Raw genomic sequence first — 19,155 nt, 5'->3', positions numbered from 1 at the left:
ACCAGGGCCTGTCCTGGTGATAATTAAACTAATGTGTGTGTTTAGCGTGCAAGGTACTTTCTTGGTTGTTTTTGTCCTTTGATTTCTCTCATTGGTGAGTTATAGCATATTGGAAAGAGTGAGAGTGTTAGATGGTAGTTCTCAAACTTTTTGGTTTTAGGACCTCAGTCTTAAAAATGACTAAGGACACTATGTGGTTTCTGTTTATGTGGACTACTTCTATTCATATTTACTGTCTTAGAAATTAAAACTGAGACGTTTTCCATGTGTATTATGTATTTTAAAATAAACCCACTTTAAAAATCTATTTTTATGGAAAAATAACTATTTTCTCAAACCAAAAAACATTAGAAGGGTGGCATTGTTTAACATTTTTGTAAATCCCTTTAAAGCCAACTTAATAGACGGTAGCTATATTTTCATGTCTACTTCTGTATTCATTTTGTTGCAATTTATTGTTTTAGTTGAGGTAGATGGGAAATAAGGCCTCATACAGATCTGTATTGGGAAAAGAGAAGAGTATTTTAAGAGCCATTTCAGGTAATCTTTGATACTACATAAAAACTTCATAAGTAGTCCTTCCTTAAATGTTATTAACGGTGTGAATCTGAAACCATGCAAATGAACATTATTTGGAAACTGTCAGCTCGTGGCAAATTCAAGTTTTCCAAAATTTTAGCTTCCACTGAAAGCTCTGTTTTTATCATTAGCAATAAATGCTATCAGTTGTTTACCTCGAGGTGATAAGCTCACTTCATTCATTTTCAAGAAAATGTTTGGCAAATACTGGAGTCCGAATAACCATAGTTTGCTAGTCTTTCTTTCAAAAAAAAAGGTGTTCCACTAAAAAAACAATGCCAGTTAGTTCAACTTGCAACTCAAAAAATTACATAAGTACTTTTCCTCAAAACAACCATCATATTTTGGTATGCCTAAAAAGGGCTTTATGCATACTTCCTATTTCATCAAACAGAACATTGAAAAGATGCATTTGAGGGTCAAGATGTGATAAAAATCCATTTTTACTTTTTCATTATGGGTATTCTTAAATGAAAATAGCCTTTCTTTTTTTTTTTTTTACTGTAAGAGCAAGACCATGAAGAATACAGTAACTTTAGTTTGTAGCAGTGCCTTGATTTATGCTTAAGACAACAGCTGTTTTACTCACTGTTGCTTTTACACTGTCAGTGCAAATGTCAACACAGTGAAAGATTCAGATAACCTCTTAGTATTATTGTGAAAATAGTTTGGACCTTGGGAACCTCTAGGGGCCTAGGCGCCATACTTTGAGAACCACTGGTGTCAGAAATTGAAGGCTTTGTTATGATTCCAACCCTACCGTTAAGTAGGTTAATGTTGCCTAACTTACAGACGTAAATTTCCTCACTAGTAGAATGGGGAAAGTACTTTTTCTGCATACTTTATTGGTTGTGTAGGGATCAAATCATACCATTCATGTGAAAAATATTGTAACCTGCAAAGTCCTTTGTACACACTGGATTATTATAGTATTAATAGGCTACATTAATATTAGTATTACTATGGTATTAATAGCCACTATAGGGGACTTTGTATTATAAAAAGAACACATGCCTACAGGGGAATTGCAATTTCTCTTTCATATTCCCCCTAATCAAAGATAACTATAATTGACACTTGGAGTTTATCTTTCTAGTCCTTTTGTCTGTACCTCTTTTTTTTTAGGGGGATGGCAAATAGATGAAATGACATGTTCTAAGCAATTTTGAATTTGCTAGATTTCATGTAGTACTGGAACTAGAGCAGACACACTTTCCCAAGTTGAGTCAAGTCATAGATTCAGAAGTTCAAAAGAATATGACTTATCCGAGAGCCCCATGTAATGAATTCCTCATCATTGGCAGATCAGCCTTCATCCTCATTGCAGCCTCATCCCCTTCTAGTTGTGAGAGCCAATGCGGTGACATCTGCGGAATGGCAATCCAACTACTGGGGCAGGAAGATGATCGAAGATGACCCAAGTACGTGCAAGATCTTTTGTCTTTTACATCCACGTTCTTTATACCCCTGTAAGCTTTTATTGCCTTAAAGTGAAAAAAAAAAAGTTCCCTAAAAGAGTGACTTTAAATAAGATAACCTTGCCATCTGTGTATTTTTATGACTAAAGTCAAAGTCATCCAAAATTACAAAGATGGAGAGCAGATCAGTAGTTACCAGCGGTTAGGAAAGGGAGCAGCAGTGTAACCTGAGGGAGTTGCTTTGTATTGATGGAACAGTTTGATAACTTGGTGGTGGTGATTGTTGTAGTTATCTATACATGTGACAGAATGCCATAGAACTATACACAAAGACATACCAAAACAATGAATGCATGCAAAAATGGGGGGAATTCTAGTAAAGTCTGTGGCCTAGTTGTCTTGCACCAGTGTCTGTTTTTTCGTTTTGATAATGTACTGTTTAACATATATAAGATGTTACTATTGGGGGAAGCTGGTTGATGGGTACAAGGGACCTCTCTACTAGTTTTACAATTTTTTGGTGAGTCTATAATTTTTTCAAAATAAGTTTAAATAAAAGTATAACCTATCAAATTATTATCAAGGAGAGAAAAGTAGGGGAAAGTGTTTAGTATACATTGTTACATAAAAATTTCAGCATAAAACAAATGTGCAGAACACAAATCAAACTCACTTCCTGATACTCTTTGAGCCAACTGATCTGCAGTCCTCAGTCCTGCTTCCTTCGCACTTTAATAGGTTTTCTAATTTCTTCCTCTAATTGAAGTCCTATATGTGGTTGCTATTCCATAAAAGTAGGAATGATTAGCTATTTCCTCCCAGAAGTGAGTCTAGTTGTCATGATTGAATATATCTAGGGAATGCTGCCTCTTAGTGGTGAGAAGCCAGAGAAATGTGGACAAGATCTATTCTATTGCTGTTGTTTTTACTATATTTGTGGCATACTTACAAGTGCATGGGTTTTGATTTTTAATGAGGCCTGTATTAAAATACTCAGCATCTTACTTGTGTGGGCTTGTTGAGTTCTTTGAGTCTTGGTTTCTTCATTTTTGTAAAAAGGGTTTAGTAATCCCTCCTTGTGTTCATTTATGATTCATTCTGTTACTTATTAGGGTTCTACATAAGCACTGTGGGTAGGCTGTAGGGATGCAGCAGTAAGAAGAACACAGACAAGGGCCGTATCCTCTTGGAGTTGCCATTCTGGTGGCATTTTTAGAAATAATTTATGTGAAATACCTATGAAAGCATTCAGTTCGTAGCATGTACTTAACAGATAATGACATTTTTAAAAACATTTTTTAAATATTTATTTAGTTGCCTTGCAATCTCTCTAAACTTATCCTTCCTCTCATTAAAGATGCCTTCCTAATCAAAGCCAACTCCAGACATAACAAACGATTTGTTGTTCATGGAATATATACCATTTCACGCTTCCATGCCTTTATAGATTCCATTCCTTCCACTTTGAGTGCCCCTTAGTAGTTAGTGTATTAATAATAAAGACTTTCTTTGCAATGCAGCTTTCTTGTTTAAAAAAAGAAAAAGGAAGCAGAATGCTCTTGAGTTTTAGCTGTTTCTAAGTGGTTTTGTTATATGTTTGATTAAATGTATAGTACTGAAAAATTACGTTCAACCTTTTTTTTTTAACCATGAAAAGGAAACCAATAAAATCATTACTTGCTAAGCAATGCTGGGTCTGCTCTACTCCTGGCATCAGGCATCATTCCTGTGATCCTAGCAAAGAAGTTAAGGAGTCAGCAGAGATTTGCATCCATTTAATACCAAAACCGCAAAATGGGTCAGGAAAGGAATAACTGGTGGATTGAAATAGATTCTCAATGGACAGAGGAAAACCATTTAAATGCCATACCCTTTGAAAGTCCCAAGGCAGCAATGGTTTTAGAAAATGTATATAAATTATTTTTTAAATAGTGGGAGTCACCCGGAAGTATTCTAGGTCAGCCAGGACTCACCATGCATCTGGTTTCTTCTCTCCGGAGGCCTTTGGACAATTCTATAGCTTGCATAAGAGCTTGAGTCTCATTAAACAGTTGGAGGGCAGTTATTGCTTCAGAGCTGTTGAAGCAAAGCAAAGATTTCTCCATCTGCATAGCATTTCCTGTTTGCAATCTCTGACTGTAGGGTATTGTGGTTTGTGTTAAAGTTGTTTTTTTTTTTATTTTTCTTCTTTTCTTTCCCCTCAAATAAGAATATCTGATAATGTACAGGTTGGATCTAGATTTGTAGCCAGCAGATTATTTCTCAAGTTCTTCTTTGAAATGTTAAAAAGTATGGAGAGCATGGATGTGCCTAATGGTAAAATTGGTAGCTTCTGGGTGCCCTGAACTATATAATGCATTTTTAAAACCTTATCTTTTAAAAAAATGGTCATCAATCATTGGCAGTTTTCAGCGTTTGATCTACCAGGTATCCCCTTATTTCCTGACATGCCTCACTGCCTCACTACCAATTAATACTGTGGGACATTTTGTGAAATGTGATCTATCCATGTGGGTTGGTGGGTGGGTAAGAGGGAAAGGTTTATTTTTAACTCCTTCTATTTAAAAAATCATACATATTTATTATAAAAATTTGAGATATATGGAAAATTTTAAAATAAAAATTATAATTCTAGCTTCTGTTAATATTTAAGAGTAGTATTTGAAACAATTTTATGGATTTGTACACAGAGATACTGCTGATTTGCATAGATATCTGCAGGTATAGGTATATATCTCATTCAGGTCCAAAATCCTTGGGGTTAGATTTGTTTCAAAATTCAGAGTTTTACCGATTTCAGAAGGGTGACAGGGTGTACATGCCTTATATTATGCAGCACACCCCCTAGTGACTTCTTGGGAAGATGCTTATAATTAAACACAGTTTTGTGTCTGCAGTGAAACTTGAATATTCACATGAAGTCTGATATATAAAGACTATTAGGTGCCCCACCTCAAGTCTAGTCAAGAGATTACCAACCAAATGGAGTCAGAACAGGTTTTGCTATTAAGTGAGTTTAAGCTAAAAAAAAAAAAAAAAAAGCCGTGTATTTTATATATATATATGCAAATTTGCTCTAACAGGCTGCATACTGTTTCATTGTATATCTGTACCATAACTGATTATTTGAATTTTCTGTTTGTCAATACAGGTATACCTTGTCTTAAATACATCCAATAAACAGGTATCCTAGTGTATATATACCTCAGGCTGAATTTGAATATGGTTTTTGTTTTTTTTTTTTTTTTTTCTTATAAGGATTCACATTCAGTGTTTCAAGGTAGGATTTCAAATAATACATTTTAAATAGGATTGCATTTTCAGCTTGTGGCTTTTGCATGTTGTTCATAGCACTTGTCTAAAGGGTGTATGCACGCGATATGTGTACGTGATTGTCTAGTATTATTTCACTTACATTTGGTATAGAGTTTTGGTTCTATGTGAGAGGAAGGAAGAAGGAAAAGGGAGAGTGGAGAAGGGAGAAGAAAAACCATCGCTTATTGGAGCAAAGTTTCATTGACCATAAGAAAAGATTGAACTTTAAGAATGATTGGTACTGGAATGCTTTATGCTGTCTCTAACATTTTGCTAATCAATATCTCTTTGATAAAAGAGCTGGTCTCACCCTCACAGCCTTAAGGCAGGTGAAGTTTTCATTATTTTTATTTTTATGGTTAACTTTTACTATACAAGTAATTCTGATAACAGGAGCTTGTCTTTATACTGTGGTGACTGTATGCCAGGCACTGGCACTTTGAGTACTTTACATGTTTTATTGGTTAAGATAGGCTAGGATATACTGCAGTAATACATGAACCCCCAAATCTCCATGGCTTAACATGGTTTATTTTCTTCTCGTGTGACATGTCTACTGAAGGGATCTGTTCTGCTTAGCAACAGCAACTCAGAGACTTAGACGCATGGAAGCTCCCCCTTCTCTACAGGGGAAGAGAGAGACTAGAGAAGCGTATGCATACTTTTCACAGCTTTCCTAGGTGTTGTAGTTCATTGGTTTGAACTGTGATCTTGGCCCCACCTACCTAGCTGCAGGAGACCTGGAAATGGGAGGGAGCAGGAGCTGCAGGAGACCTGGAAAGGGGAGTATTTGGTGAGCATTATCCTCTGCCTCATCTGTATGTAGCCTCATTTACTCCTCACAGCAGCCCTACCAGGTAGTAACCATAGTTACCCTTATTTAAGAGCTCACAAACTGAGTCACAGAGCATTAAGTAGATCTCAGATTCAGCATTCAAACCCAGGTGGTCTGCTCTAGGGCATCGGTCCCCAACCTTTTTGGCACCAGGGACCGGTTTTGTGGATGACAGTTTTTCCACATACAAGAGGGTAGCCGGGAGGATGGTTTCGGGATGATTTGAGCACATTACATTTATCATTAGATTCTCATAAGTAGCGTGCAACCTAGATCCCTTGCATATGCAGTTCACAGTAGGGTTCCGTCTCCTATGAGAGTCTGATGCTGCCCTTGATCTAACAGGAGGCGGAACTCAGCTTCGCTCAATAGCCCGCAACTCACTCCTGCTGTGTGGCCTGGTTCCTAACAAGCCACAGACCTGTACCGGTTCGTGGCCTGGGGACTGGGGACCCGTGCTCTAGAGTATGCTGTACCTCCTCGCAAAAGATATGGACATCCTGTTTTGGACATAATGTAAAATTTACTTTTAAATTAATTTAAGTTAAAAGTTGTATTGATTTAAAAAACAGCAATTAAAACATAGACAATGATGTTACAAAGATAAGGCAAACACTGATTGGAGAGAATTAACAGCCTTCTGTCTGCATGATCTTTGTCCCAGAAGCCTCCAGAGCTCTTTCTTTAGGCCCAGATCTGGAAGTACATTGCAAACAGCAAATGCAAGTCTTTTTCTCTTTTCCTTTCTTAACAGAAAATTCTGTCAAACTCTGCCCCACATTCACTTCTTCCACTTCTTTCCACTCCACATTCCCTTCCACTATTCCTTGATTTCCCATTTTCCATCCCAGGCATAACCTTTTATCTGGATCTCCCACTCTTCCTAGCCGATTCAGATTAAATGTTCTGTCTTGAGCTGACTTTGGATTCCTCTGCACAATGTTGCCTGAGTCTCTCCTCACCTCCACATACCATGGCCCTCAGACAAGGCCACCACTCCAGATCTGGACTGTTGGGAGGTCCTACAGCCCAGCCTGGTGCTTTTTTCAGGGCTGATGTTAGCCAGCACCGGGAAACACGGGTTAGTGAGGGGAGCATGGCTGGACTTCAGGCTTCCCTTGTACAAGCCAGGTGGGTGCTTTGAGCCATGTACACCCTGCACAGCCGTACACAGTGGCCATACTGTGTCCAGTGCATCTGGCATCTTCTTGCCTGGGAGCAAGAGTATAAAGAAACTTGTCCAATGCAGTGCTTTCTAATTTATTTGAGCATGGACTTTGTTGTTGTATAAGAAACATTGACTTTTCATGGAACCACTTCAGAAAATGCTGATTTAGATGTTTTGCTGGACCAGGTGATCCATTTCATTTGTTGTTGTGTGTGTTTTTTTTTTAATTCAAATTCACTTCTGCCCTCCAACAATTTATTTCTAATTTATATTTCAGTATGTAATTTCTCATTGTTTTTAAGCTGGTTGCCACTTCCCCTTTTCTTTTCATTTTAGATTATACTGTATGGTAACCCCTTAGGGTTAAACATGAAGAAATGGCCCGCTGATGCAGTCTTGAACTAGTATCTGACTACATCTTTCAGTAAAAATGAGTGGATCTTTTCATTGACATATTGCCACAGATATGTTAAGCAACTGAAAATTCAGAAAATTGGCAGAAATAGCTTGACTTTGAAGTTGGATATAATTGAGTTCTATCTCTGCTCCACCACCTCCCAAGCTAGGTCACCTGAGGCAGATTCATTCATTCACTCATTCATTCCTCTAGAAAGCAAGAGTATCTAAGAAGGCTTTACAGAGGAGGTACCCTTTATCTGAGCCGTAAATTATCAAGAGATATTCATGAAACGCTGTTCTCTTAAGCTAGCAGAGACTGTTTTCATAAGTAGAAACATTAAATAATATTAAGCAATGGTTGATATACTTGATAAAGGGTGAGGTGAAAGTCTATACTTTAGTAGTAAGAAAGAAACTTCCTATGAAGTGTGTTCTTATCTCTGCCAGCAGTTACCAAGTGCCCACTCTGTTCCAGAATCTGTGCTAAGACTGTCATTTTCTATGTGAGAGATTGCTTATACATAATATTTTAATAGTTTACCCTAAAGCACTACTTAATTTTACAAGGAAAGATGGACAAAGGTATAGGACCAGACTTTTAAAACATTGTGCTTTTGGTTTCCCACAAGTGGGGTTTCCTGGCAGCAGCTGGCATCACAAATGTAATATCTAAGAAGATTCCTTTTCTGCAAGGGAAGCTTTGAAATATATCAAACAACTGCCTATCACAGTTACCATTTAGGTGGATTCTTTGACTTCTGAAAAATTTAATGAGGATTAAGTGAAATAAGTCTTAAAACATGAAGATGTAGACCAAGCAGACAGGGCAGGGCTTTCCAAGCAAAGGGAGCAGAGATGGCTTTGACCTCCTGTCAGTTAAATGAAGACAATAATGTCTACTATGAGACATTACTATGTCACCCTAGTACGTGGTAAGCCCTGTGTGCTTGCATATGTTTGTTGAATTTTTTAAATTGTGTTAAGAAGGTGTGTCCTGAGTAAAAGATATTGCAAAACATTTATCATAATCTGTGATAAAGATGTTGAGTGAAAGCAAGGAAAATGTGATCCGATGTTACAGTGTGGTTTTATTCTAGGGAAAAAGAACAAATTGTAGATGCCATGCGTGGAAATGAAATTAAAGGTCTGAAAGTTGATCATGAACTAACTGATTATCATTTTAAGTACAACAAAGAAATCCTTAGGATAGGGATATCTTTCTCAAACCAAGGCCTAGCCATATAGCACACCCCCTCCTTTTACTTTCTCCTTTGTCTTGGTCTTATAAATCCTAGCTACTTCCCCTTTCCATATAATTATCGTCAAATGAAATCAGATGCTGCAGATAATGCACAGGGAAATGGTACTTTCATTTTCACTTGATGTAGGAGATGATGTTAAATCTAACCCACCATTTACTAAATTGAATTAGATAAAATATAATTGCATTATTTTAAGTTAAGGAATTCTCATATTCCCTGGTACTCTTAGACCTACCCATTTTTCTTTCTAGCATTTCCAGTAAAATGTACTTTATGAGTAAATTCAGTCTTGTCAGTCCCGAGTGCCTTTAGCACATGGTGTAATTTGTCTTGCATTTTTCCTTGGGCCTTTCCCAGATCTTCCAGAGCAGTACCTCTGTTCTTCATTGTAATTATGCCTTAGACCATAGGCAAGTGATTTCTGCTCTCTGGCTGTAAGTCTTTCCTTCTCTAAAGGAACTTTGGTTTTTCTTCCACTTGGACAGCCTTTAGTCTAAGGCAGTGGTTCTCACACTTGATCTTGCATCCATTTCACCTTGAGAGCTTGTTAAAACTTAGGTTGCTGGGACCCACTCTTGGAGTTTCTGATTAATTAGGTCTGGGATTTCATAACCAACAAGTTTCCAGGTGATATTGACACTACTGATTTGAGGACCACACTTTTGAGAACCACTAGGAAGGATTGTCACTCTGGACAGAGATCCAGAATTTCCTAGTGTTACGGAGAAGCTGCAACTGTTTTTCTCTCCAGATTCACTTTTATATTAATTGTTTTTACTTTTATACATGACATCTGATTTACATCTTTATCACTGAATAAAGAACAAGTTGAATGAGAAATAGGCTGCTGGTTAATTATATCACCCTCTTGTGATTTTGCATCATGTTTCTTTTTAATAACTTTGTACGTACAAAAATAATACCACTTCATTGTTGAAAACTCAGAAAATGTAGGGAGAAAAAGACTAAAATAAAAATCAACAGTAATCTTATCTGTTATGGAGTGTGTGTATGTGTGTTTGTGTGTACACCCTCTGTCTTTCTAAACTTTTTGCTGTTTAAACATCTTTTTTCTCGTATTTTTAAAGTCATATAATTTTTTTAACATTGGGTTCATACTGCAGTGCTATTTTATACTGTGGTTTTCCACCGATAACATTTTGAAAATGTTTTCCTGTTTTGTAAAATACTGCAGCCTAAGAACCTTTGCTTAGTTGGAAGCCATACAACCTCTTAAATCAAGGCTTGTTTGTGCAGGGTTTGGAGAAAGGATCCTCTCCCCCATTACCCCTGGCAGTCTCCGAAGAGGGGTCTGCAGAACCCAGAGGCACATTCTAAAAACTGTATAGAATGCCCATCTTATATTTGCACTATAATTTATTTACCCAACTTCCTGTTTTGAATATTTCTATTGTTTCCATTTACCACTGTCCAAAATGTAATAGTTTGAAATCTCTACACATCTCATGATTATATATTATTTAGTTACTGGTTGTCATTACTCCATTAATTCAGTTTGTAATGCTTTTGCTTCTCCTCCTTCCCTGTCATTTAAGAGTCAAGAAGTGGGGGAAAACTGCCAGTAGCCCAAGGCCCTGGTAGGTCATAGTTGGTGCCTTGCTCTGATCAAATTAAGATGCTCACTTTGTTGAAATATTTCAGACTTTTTCAAAAAGTTATGTTTATACTGTGCCAGAAGTTTCATAGTGAACATTGTGGATGGACTATACTAAAAAATTGAGAATTGTTATAAGAATTATGAATGGACTTTTCTAACTCTCCGGCTTTACCACAGAACTGTTTGTTTGTTTGTTTTTGTTACTTTGTTGAGTTGGGGACCAGGGCTGCCCTGTCTCTGAGGCAGTTTGAGCATCTCCCTATAGTTCTCACCCATTTGAGGTGGAATTTTTTCTGCTTTATTCAGTTGTATCTCAGTAGCTCATTTTAAGCTGTAAGAGTGTTACAACTGGAAGGTACCTTAGAGGTCTTTTTAGAGACCTCACACTTTATTGATGCCAGAAACAAAAAGTGACCTGCCTAAACATCCACAGCTGGTTGGAGACAGGTTCAAGTCTAGAACAGGTCTCCTGACCTTCATTCTTTCTTCTCTTCTTGCCAGACAAAGCCTAACAGCTGCAGGATGGGAGGGGTACCCTTGGTTTGTCACTCCCAACCATATCCTGGGAGCAGTTCTAACTCTTCTGTCCCTCTCCTGAATCTAGCCCCTTCCCCCATTCTGGTGCTGAGCACTCCAGGACGACCAAAACTGGTTCAGGTTCTATAACACTTGATGTTTCAGAGCAGTCCTTCTGATTTGGAGAGGAATTCATTCATCCATTTACTTAATCAGTAAGCATTTTTATTTGGTGTATAGAACAAGTCAACACTTTGCTCTAGGAGTTTGATGTAGCTCAATGGTGGGCAAAGCAGTCATAGCCTCTGCCTCCAAGAAGCTTTGCTCTAGACAGTAAAGGAACACACGGATAATTGTAAAGTGCAGTACTCTGTGAAAGTGAGCCTATTCTGCCACTGGTCCAGAGTAACAGGAGGTTAGGGAGAAGGGACTTATTTATTATTTAGAATGGTCAAGGCCTCACTGAGAAAGTGACATGGAGACAGAGGAAGAGTGTTCCAGACAGAGTAAAGCACGTGCAAAGTGGGAGAGATCTCTGTGGGTTGAGAAGCCAAAAGGAGTTGTAGTGCAGTGAGAATGGGTAGAGGGACTCAAAACAGGTTGGCAGGGCCAGAGCTAAATTGGGAGCTTGGATATGAGTGTAGTTCAGTGGGAAGCCAATGATGGGTTTTAAGCAGGAGAGTGATATAATCTGGTAATCACTTTAAAAGATCGCTGTAACAGCAGAGCACAGAGGAAATGAGAGTGGCCTTTGGAGTCAGTAAAAACCTTAATTAATAACCTGATCATCTGCTTTACTCACTGTTTGACCTTGGGCGAGTTACTTAACCTCTCTAAGCCTGTTTCCTCGTTAACCTAGTGAGACTAAGACCCATCTTACAGAGGTGTTGTGAGCAATATCTTTAGATAATATATGTTAGATACAGTACCCTCTGTCATTTAAATAAAATTCATGCTGTTCTGCCTAGATTAGAACACAGTATAATGGGCTGCATTATCTTACAGTTTATGGAGACTGCCTTGCAGACGAGGCAGGGAGGCAGGAACTGTGAGATGGAGAGAATGTGGTGCAATAAAAAGGAAATTTTGGAGCTCCCCATCCCAGCCTTAAAAGTACCTGAAATGCCAGCTCATTATCATTTTTTCACCACTACTGCTGAGCTTTTCAAGTGTAAAGAATCTTATGATTCAACATGACGAAACCCTGTCTCTACTAAAAATACAAAAATCAGCTGGGTGTGGTGGCAGGTGCCTGTAGTCCCAGCTACTCAGGAGGCTGAAACAGGAGAATCGCTTGAACCCAGGAGGCAGAGGTTGCAGTGAGCAAGGCTGCACTCCAGCCTGGATGACAGAGTAAGACTCTGTCTCAAAAAAAAAAAAAAAAATCTTATGAAAATAAACCTAGTTAAATTTGATTAAGGGGTATTATGTAGTTGTTGTGCCAAACCCCTAGCCTCAGTAGGGAAGGCACCAGGTTCAAGAGGCCGAAGAAAAGACCCAGAGCCAGCAAATGAGACATGGGGTGTATTAGGGGCTTACATACAGGGGAGAGAGTCCAGTGGCAGCAGGCTGAACAAGAAAACTTCACCCACTAGTGAACAGCACGTAGCTTATATAGGATTTTCACTTAACACTCCCCTTAATGACTTCCATCTGGCAACCTTCATGGAACCCAAAACTCAGGGCCTCAATCTTCTGTATGGCCTGTGTTCCACAGTTCGGGCCGGGGACTTGGACGTTTCTCATAGACAAGGAACTAATTTCTGTGATTACTACTCCTGGGATTCCCTAACTCAGAACACACATTCAGGTGCATCTGCCACAGGGTCATTCTAAGGGTGTGCTTAAGTTACTGCTATCAGGGCACTTGCCCTACAGTAGTGTCAGGCATTTTGCCTGTATTTGCATCCACTGTGTCTCAGCTAACTGCGTGTGTTTGGCCAAGTTATTTAGTAATACCTTGTAGGGTTACCAGGAGCAGCTAATGAGACTGTGTGTAAAACGAGCCACCTCTGTGGCCTGGAATAAAGTGGAGCTTCATTGGTGTCAGTTCTTTTCTTTTCTTTTTTCTTTTGAGACAGTCTGTTCTGTCTCAAAAGGTCTCATTCTGTTGCCCAGGCTGGAGCGCAATGGCATGATCTCAGCTCACTGCAGCCTCAACCTCCTGGGCTCAGGCAATCCTCCCACCTCAGCCTTCTGAGCAGCTGAGGTTTAGGCATGCACTACCAAGCCCAGCTAATGTTTGTATTTTTTTGTAGAGATGAGGGTTTCACCATGTCGCCTAGGCGGGTCTCGAACTCCTGAACTCAAGCAAACCACCTGCCTCAGCCTCCCAAAGTGCTGGAATTACAGATGTGCCACTGCACCTGGCCCGTTGGTGTCAGTTCTGTCTCGATCCACTGACACTGGCATGGGCTAGTTCAGGAAGGTGCTGGGACACCAGCAAGGTTAAACGGTTTTCCCAGTTCACGCAGGCCGGGAGTGATGAGTGGCCACATGCCTCTGGGATTCTTTGCTCTGTATCACAGTACCTTGGAAAGCAGCCTAATGACGAGGCATCAGTTTTATTTTTATTTAGTTTTATTTTTTGACCTGCCACTTCAGGAGGCACCAGTTTTAAATAGCTTCAAGGTATTATAACTCTGTAGGGCATGAAGGAGTTAATATACTAGACAGAATACCCAGTTTATACCAGGGAATCGCAGACTTAACTACTGGGAGCTGGCTCATTATTTTAATTGGATTTTCCAATGCGTTGAGCAAGTCAGCAGATTTGCATTAGCCTTACTTTCAGAGAAACTGTTTCAGTTATGGAGAGAGAGAGAACCAATGGGCAGTGGAGAGGGAATGTCAAGATTAATGCAAGATGACAAAGCAAGCAAATTATGTCCTCATTAATTAATACAGTCTTGTGTGCATGTAGGTGTCCTGGAAGTACCATTTGTAGAGCTGTGCTCTGCTCTTCTGTCAGAGGCAAGAAAAAACGAGGCCCTGCTGACTGACTGTCTTTCTGCCAGTTGGCTGCTCCAGCAGGACAGGGTGGCTTGTTGGGGTGAGCCCTCCCTTAAGGGCACTCCACCTGCAGGCCCATAGAGGGGCTTGGAGCTGAGTTGGGCAGTATTCAGGCAAGCCAGAAATGATAGTACAGTGTGACCTACAACTTTTTTTTTTTTTTTTGAGATGGAGTTTCACTCTTGTCACCCAGGCTGGAGCACAGTGGCGTGATCTCAGCTCACTGCATCCTCCACCTCCCAGGTTCAAGCGATTCTCCTGCTTCAGCCTCCTGAGTAGCTGGGATTACAGGTGCCTGCCAACACACCTGGCTAATTTTTGTATTTTTAGTAGAGATGGGGTTTCACCACATTGGCTAGGCTGGTCTCGAACTCCTGACCTCAGGTGATCCGCCTGCCTCGGCCTTCCAGCGTGCTCGGATTACAGGCGTGAGCCACTGTGCCCGACCTACAACTGCTTCTTGATTCCTTCTTTGGGATCTGATCAGTTAGTAAACAAAATAGATACAGGGCCTCCCCTTAAGAAGCAAACCTTCTAGTGAAGAAAGATGATAAATCAGTAAACAATAAGTGAGATCATTTCTTTTAGTGGTAAAGCATAAAGACATTTTAAAAATCAGAGCAGAAGATGTATGTTTATATATACAGAGGGAAAACTGTTTATGAAGTCATCTCCAGTGACTAGGATAACGGGCTATTTGTATACTGCTGGCAGTGTTGAAGCAATTGTAAGGAATAAACGGCTATTTTTGTCCAGTTTAATATTAATTACAGTCACTTGCTTCCTTAAGCCCCTTTTGCATAATGAAAGATAGACCTCGGCCTCCCTCTGTTTGATTTACTCCAAATTTCTGGTTAGGCTTGATGTATGTACTAGCAGGGGGAATACCTCTTCTTTGAGGAAAGAAATTTAGAAGCAATTTGTGCAGAAAGCAAAAATATTTACCATACCTAAATATCATTCTGGAATTTTTTTTTTAAGAGACAGGGTCACACTCTATCACTCAGGCAGTGGCAGGATCATAGCTCACTGTAATCTTGCAGTCCTTGCCTCAGCCTCCTGAGTAGCTGAAACTACAGGCGTGCGCCATCATGCCCAGCTCATCTTTTTTTTTTTTTTTTTTTTTTTCCTAAAGAGATGGTGGAGTCTTGCTATACTTCCCAGGCTGTTCTTGAACTCATGGGCTCAAGCAGTTCCCACACCTTGGCCCCCGCCAATTGCTTGGATTACAGGCATGAGCCACCATTCCTCGTCCTGAAATGATTTTAAATGTGTTGTTTGCTTAATAAAATGAAAAAAATGCACTTTAAAAAACATACCCTTCGACTTCTTATAGACTTGAATCATGTAAAGAACTTATGTTAATTCAACTTAATGAATAAAGGAAAGGAAATGATTTGGAAGTTGAGTAAATGGAGATAGAGTAATCAATAGAATTTTAGTAAAATCAATGGGAAATAATTATATAATGGATTTGAAAAGCTTTTTTAAAAATTTATTGAAGATAATGAAGGTCATACAGGAAGTTTACTGATACTGTTATTGTATTATGTCGGCTGTATTGTAAGTGCCTTGGAGATGACTGTTACACATCAGTTTGCAAAACTCTTGCTCAGGTCATATAAAGGAGGGGCCCCCAACCCCTGCTGACTCATTGTCTTTGTTAGGAACCTTGCTGCATAGCAGGAGGTGAGCGGTGGGTGAGCAAGCATTACCTCCTGAGCTCCACCTCCTGTCACATCAGCGGTGACATTAGATTCTCAAAGCAGCGCAAACCCTGTTGTGAACTGTGAATGTGAGGGACTTAGGTTGAACACTCTTTATGAGAATCTAATGCCTGGTGATCTGAGGTGGAAGAGTTTCATCCTGAAAACAGCTCCCCCAACCCCTGCCATCTGTAGAAAAACTGTCTTCCACAAAACCAGCCTCTGGTGCCAGAAAGGTTGGGGACTGCTAATATAAAGGATTCCTGAAAGAACTATAGAAGTGAAAACACAGGAAATTTGTAGAATCCCATGACTGTGAAGTCATATACTCCATCTTCGTGGCACAATAATCACCTAAAATAACTGAGAGAATAGGTTTTCTGTTCTTTGAGATCTCCAAGAAAGGATTTTTTTTTTTTTGCTCCCCCCAGTGAATATTTCCTAAAATTTCCTCCTCTTGAGATTGGTTTGCTTTCTCTTTAACCTTTCTTTGTGCCTTTATAATGACAAAGGTAATTACTATTCACTTGTCACTTAAAATTTTCGTTGCTGGTTTTTTTAATTAACCTACGTTTTCCTGGGAAGTTAGTTGGAAAGACTTTGTAAATTTAAATTTTATTTTTCCTGTAGCCTTTTCATTGACTAGTCACTGGGAACATTCTGAATTCATAATAACATGTTTTGCGTTCATGATTTCTTATCAGCCCTCAAGAATGTGTGTAGATAACCACGGAGAAATTCTTAATTCTTGGGGTTTTCTATCTTCCCCTCATGCCTAACCACAATGATGACATTAAAAAGTTACTATGTGTGGCGGAGCATGGTTGCTCACGCCTGTAATCCCAGCACTTTGGGAGGCAGAGGCGGGCAGATCACATGAGGCCAGGAGTTGGAAACCAGCCTGACCAACAAGGGAAGACCCCATATCTGCTTTTTAAAAAAAAGGATTTACTGTTTGTGTTTGGTGTGTGGTCAGTACATGATTTGAGGCACTTTTTGTTTGGAACAACCTGCACATTCAGTACTAACCACAGAGTTTCATAATTCTTTAATTGTTATTTTATAATACAGCCTTTCAGATCAAGGTACTAATAACATTAATGTATTTTTTTTAATTTGCTGCTTCATTTCACAAAGGATTTGAGGCATTGATGCAAACCGTAATTTGGAACAAAGAGTTGAAAAGGGGTTATTTATAATCACTGTCTTTTCATATTTTGTTTTAAATTTTTGACTTTTTAAATAAACAACATATTACATATTACAATTTTTTTAAAATGCAAAAATCTCCTCTCCCACCCTATTTCTTTGCCCAGTTTCCAACCCTGGAGGAAATTGGTATCAACAGATTTCTGTGTATTATTTCAGAAATAATTAAAGCAGAGAGTTTTTTGGGGGTTTTTTTTGTCTTTTGTTTTTTGGGGTTTTTTTTTTAGATGGAGTCTTGCTCTGTCACCCAGGCTGGAGTGCAGTGGCACAATCTTGGCTCACTGCAACCTCCACCTCCCAGGTTCAGGCGATTCTCCTGTCTCAGCCTCCCAAGTAGCTGGGATTATAGATGTGTGCCACCATGCCTGGCTAATTTTTGTATTTTTAGTAGAGGCAGGGTTTCATCTTGTTGGCCAGGCTGGTCTCAAACTCCTGACCTCAAGTGATTCGCCCGCCTCGGCCTCCCAAAATGCTGGGATTGGAGGTGTGAGCCTGGCCTTTTTTCCTCCTTGTTATGCAAATTCTTGCATACCATAAGTAATGTTTTATACCTTGCTTTTATCACATAAATATTTATCTTGGAGATATTTTCAAAGTGAAGCATAAAGAGCTTTCTCGTTTTTTTTGGCTGTTGTTTAGAAACTCTGTAATTTATTTAGCCAGTGCCCTATTGATAGGCACGTAACTTTCCATCAGTTATAGATAGCCCTGTAGAGAAGAACTTTGTACACAAATGATTCTGTATTTCATTTCTTCTGCAAGTATTTTTTGAGCACCCTCTCTGTGCTAGGCAGTGTTCTGGGAATATAGCAGTGAGCATATTGACCCCTCTCTCAAACTGGCAACCAGGCTGGGGAGACAGCAACAAATAGGGAAACAAACATATATACAAATGGGTAGGGATGGTAAGTGCTTTGAAGAAAAATAAGGCAAGGATCTCCGTGAACAGAGGAAAAGTAGGCAATGGCTTGGCTAGTGAAGGCAGGTCAGGCCCCCCAACCTTACTTACCCACCATCCATCCAAACTTCTAAGGCCCATAGGATAGGAGGATGCTAGGGAATTGTACTCCAAGAATGAAATTGAGGACTCAGAGCAAATTATTTCAGCTATCTGTGTAGAATAGAGGGTGAGTCCTATTAATCTTCATATTTTCAGTCTCAGACCCAGTTAGTGTTGCTCAACCTTTTTTTTCCTCATTATGATCCAAAGCCTTCCTCCTTTTCCCCAAGAGCCTTTTTAGACATAGTCCCCCATCGCTCCCCCCCGTGAAATTTTAATACAGCTAATAGACATAGTTGATATCAGTTATATACTGTGGCCCTTTGGAGGGCCACAGACAGTTATAACAGCTAAGATTTTTTGGTTTTTTATTTTTTGCCCCACTCCCCAAGAACCAGTGTCTTAGAGCCTCACAGAATGTAGACTCTCAGACTATAGCTCTCTGGTATGCCAGCCAGTCTGTTGGTGTGTGATTGTTGGCAAAATCACAGACAGAATTGTCTTGGTAGAAATCCCTTTGTCTTTGAAATAAGAAAGAAGTGATTGTTTCTTAGATGTGTGTCACCAGAGAAGCCCTCTGGTGACACACATTGGGAAACCTTCCGGTGTGTAAAATTAGTTGTTGTTCAGGGAGAGTAAAGAGGTAGAATGACTGAGAATTTCAAGAAGCCTAAGATGAAAACAACAGGAAAGGGTTAGGAAGAAGTTAAGAGCAAAAAGGGGAAAACCTGTTCCCCGCCCCTCTCTGCTCCCTCATTATCTTATCCATATTTAGCATGCCATAGCATTTAAAATATAAACATGTATTCAACACTTCCTAGGTATCAGGGAGTAAGCTAGCACTTTTTACACATATTAATTCATTCCATCCTCACAACAGCTGCTTGCAGTAGGTTATAATATTCTACTTTACAGATGTGGTTAAGAGGGTCATGCACAAAGCCCTTTCAAGTCAGCGTTGGTCCTTCTCACACCACTCTCTCCCTCTGCCACTAACACATAATACATAATAGCATAATGTAGTAGAGTTGGCTGTGTAGTGACTGCCTCTGTTCCTAGAATATGAGCTCTCCACAGGTAGGAACAGTGTTTATTCATCTTTGCCTATCAAGCTTCTA

The 19,155-nt window shown here is 39.4% G+C and overlaps 1 protein-coding gene across 24 annotated transcripts in view, besides 1 other annotated feature; it reads left to right on the top strand.

The window, feature by feature from the left end:
* The window catches only part of ASAP1 (ArfGAP with SH3 domain, ankyrin repeat and PH domain 1), a 391,571-nt gene that overhangs the window by 233,045 nt on the left and 139,371 nt on the right, over positions 1-19,155 (top strand). The gene's annotated exons all lie outside the window — the stretch shown is intronic.
* Positions 5,767-6,736: an enhancer, noted in NCBI's record as "OCT4-NANOG hESC enhancer chr8:131216140-131217109 (GRCh37/hg19 assembly coordinates)". NCBI's record gives its function as "activates a minimal SCP1, AML or CMV promoter by ChIP-STARR-seq in naive and primed H9 embryonic stem cells {active_cell/tissue: H9 hESC(naive and primed)}" and the evidence as "EXISTENCE:reporter gene assay evidence [ECO:0000049][PMID:30033119]".

The sequence above is a fragment of the Homo sapiens genome, chromosome 8 (assembly GCF_000001405.40).
Source record: "Homo sapiens chromosome 8, GRCh38.p14 Primary Assembly".
NCBI classification, from domain to species: Eukaryota; Metazoa; Chordata; class Mammalia; order Primates; family Hominidae; genus Homo; species Homo sapiens.
Note: the sequence above shows the minus strand (reverse complement) of the source record. Positions and strands in the feature narration are given on the sequence as shown.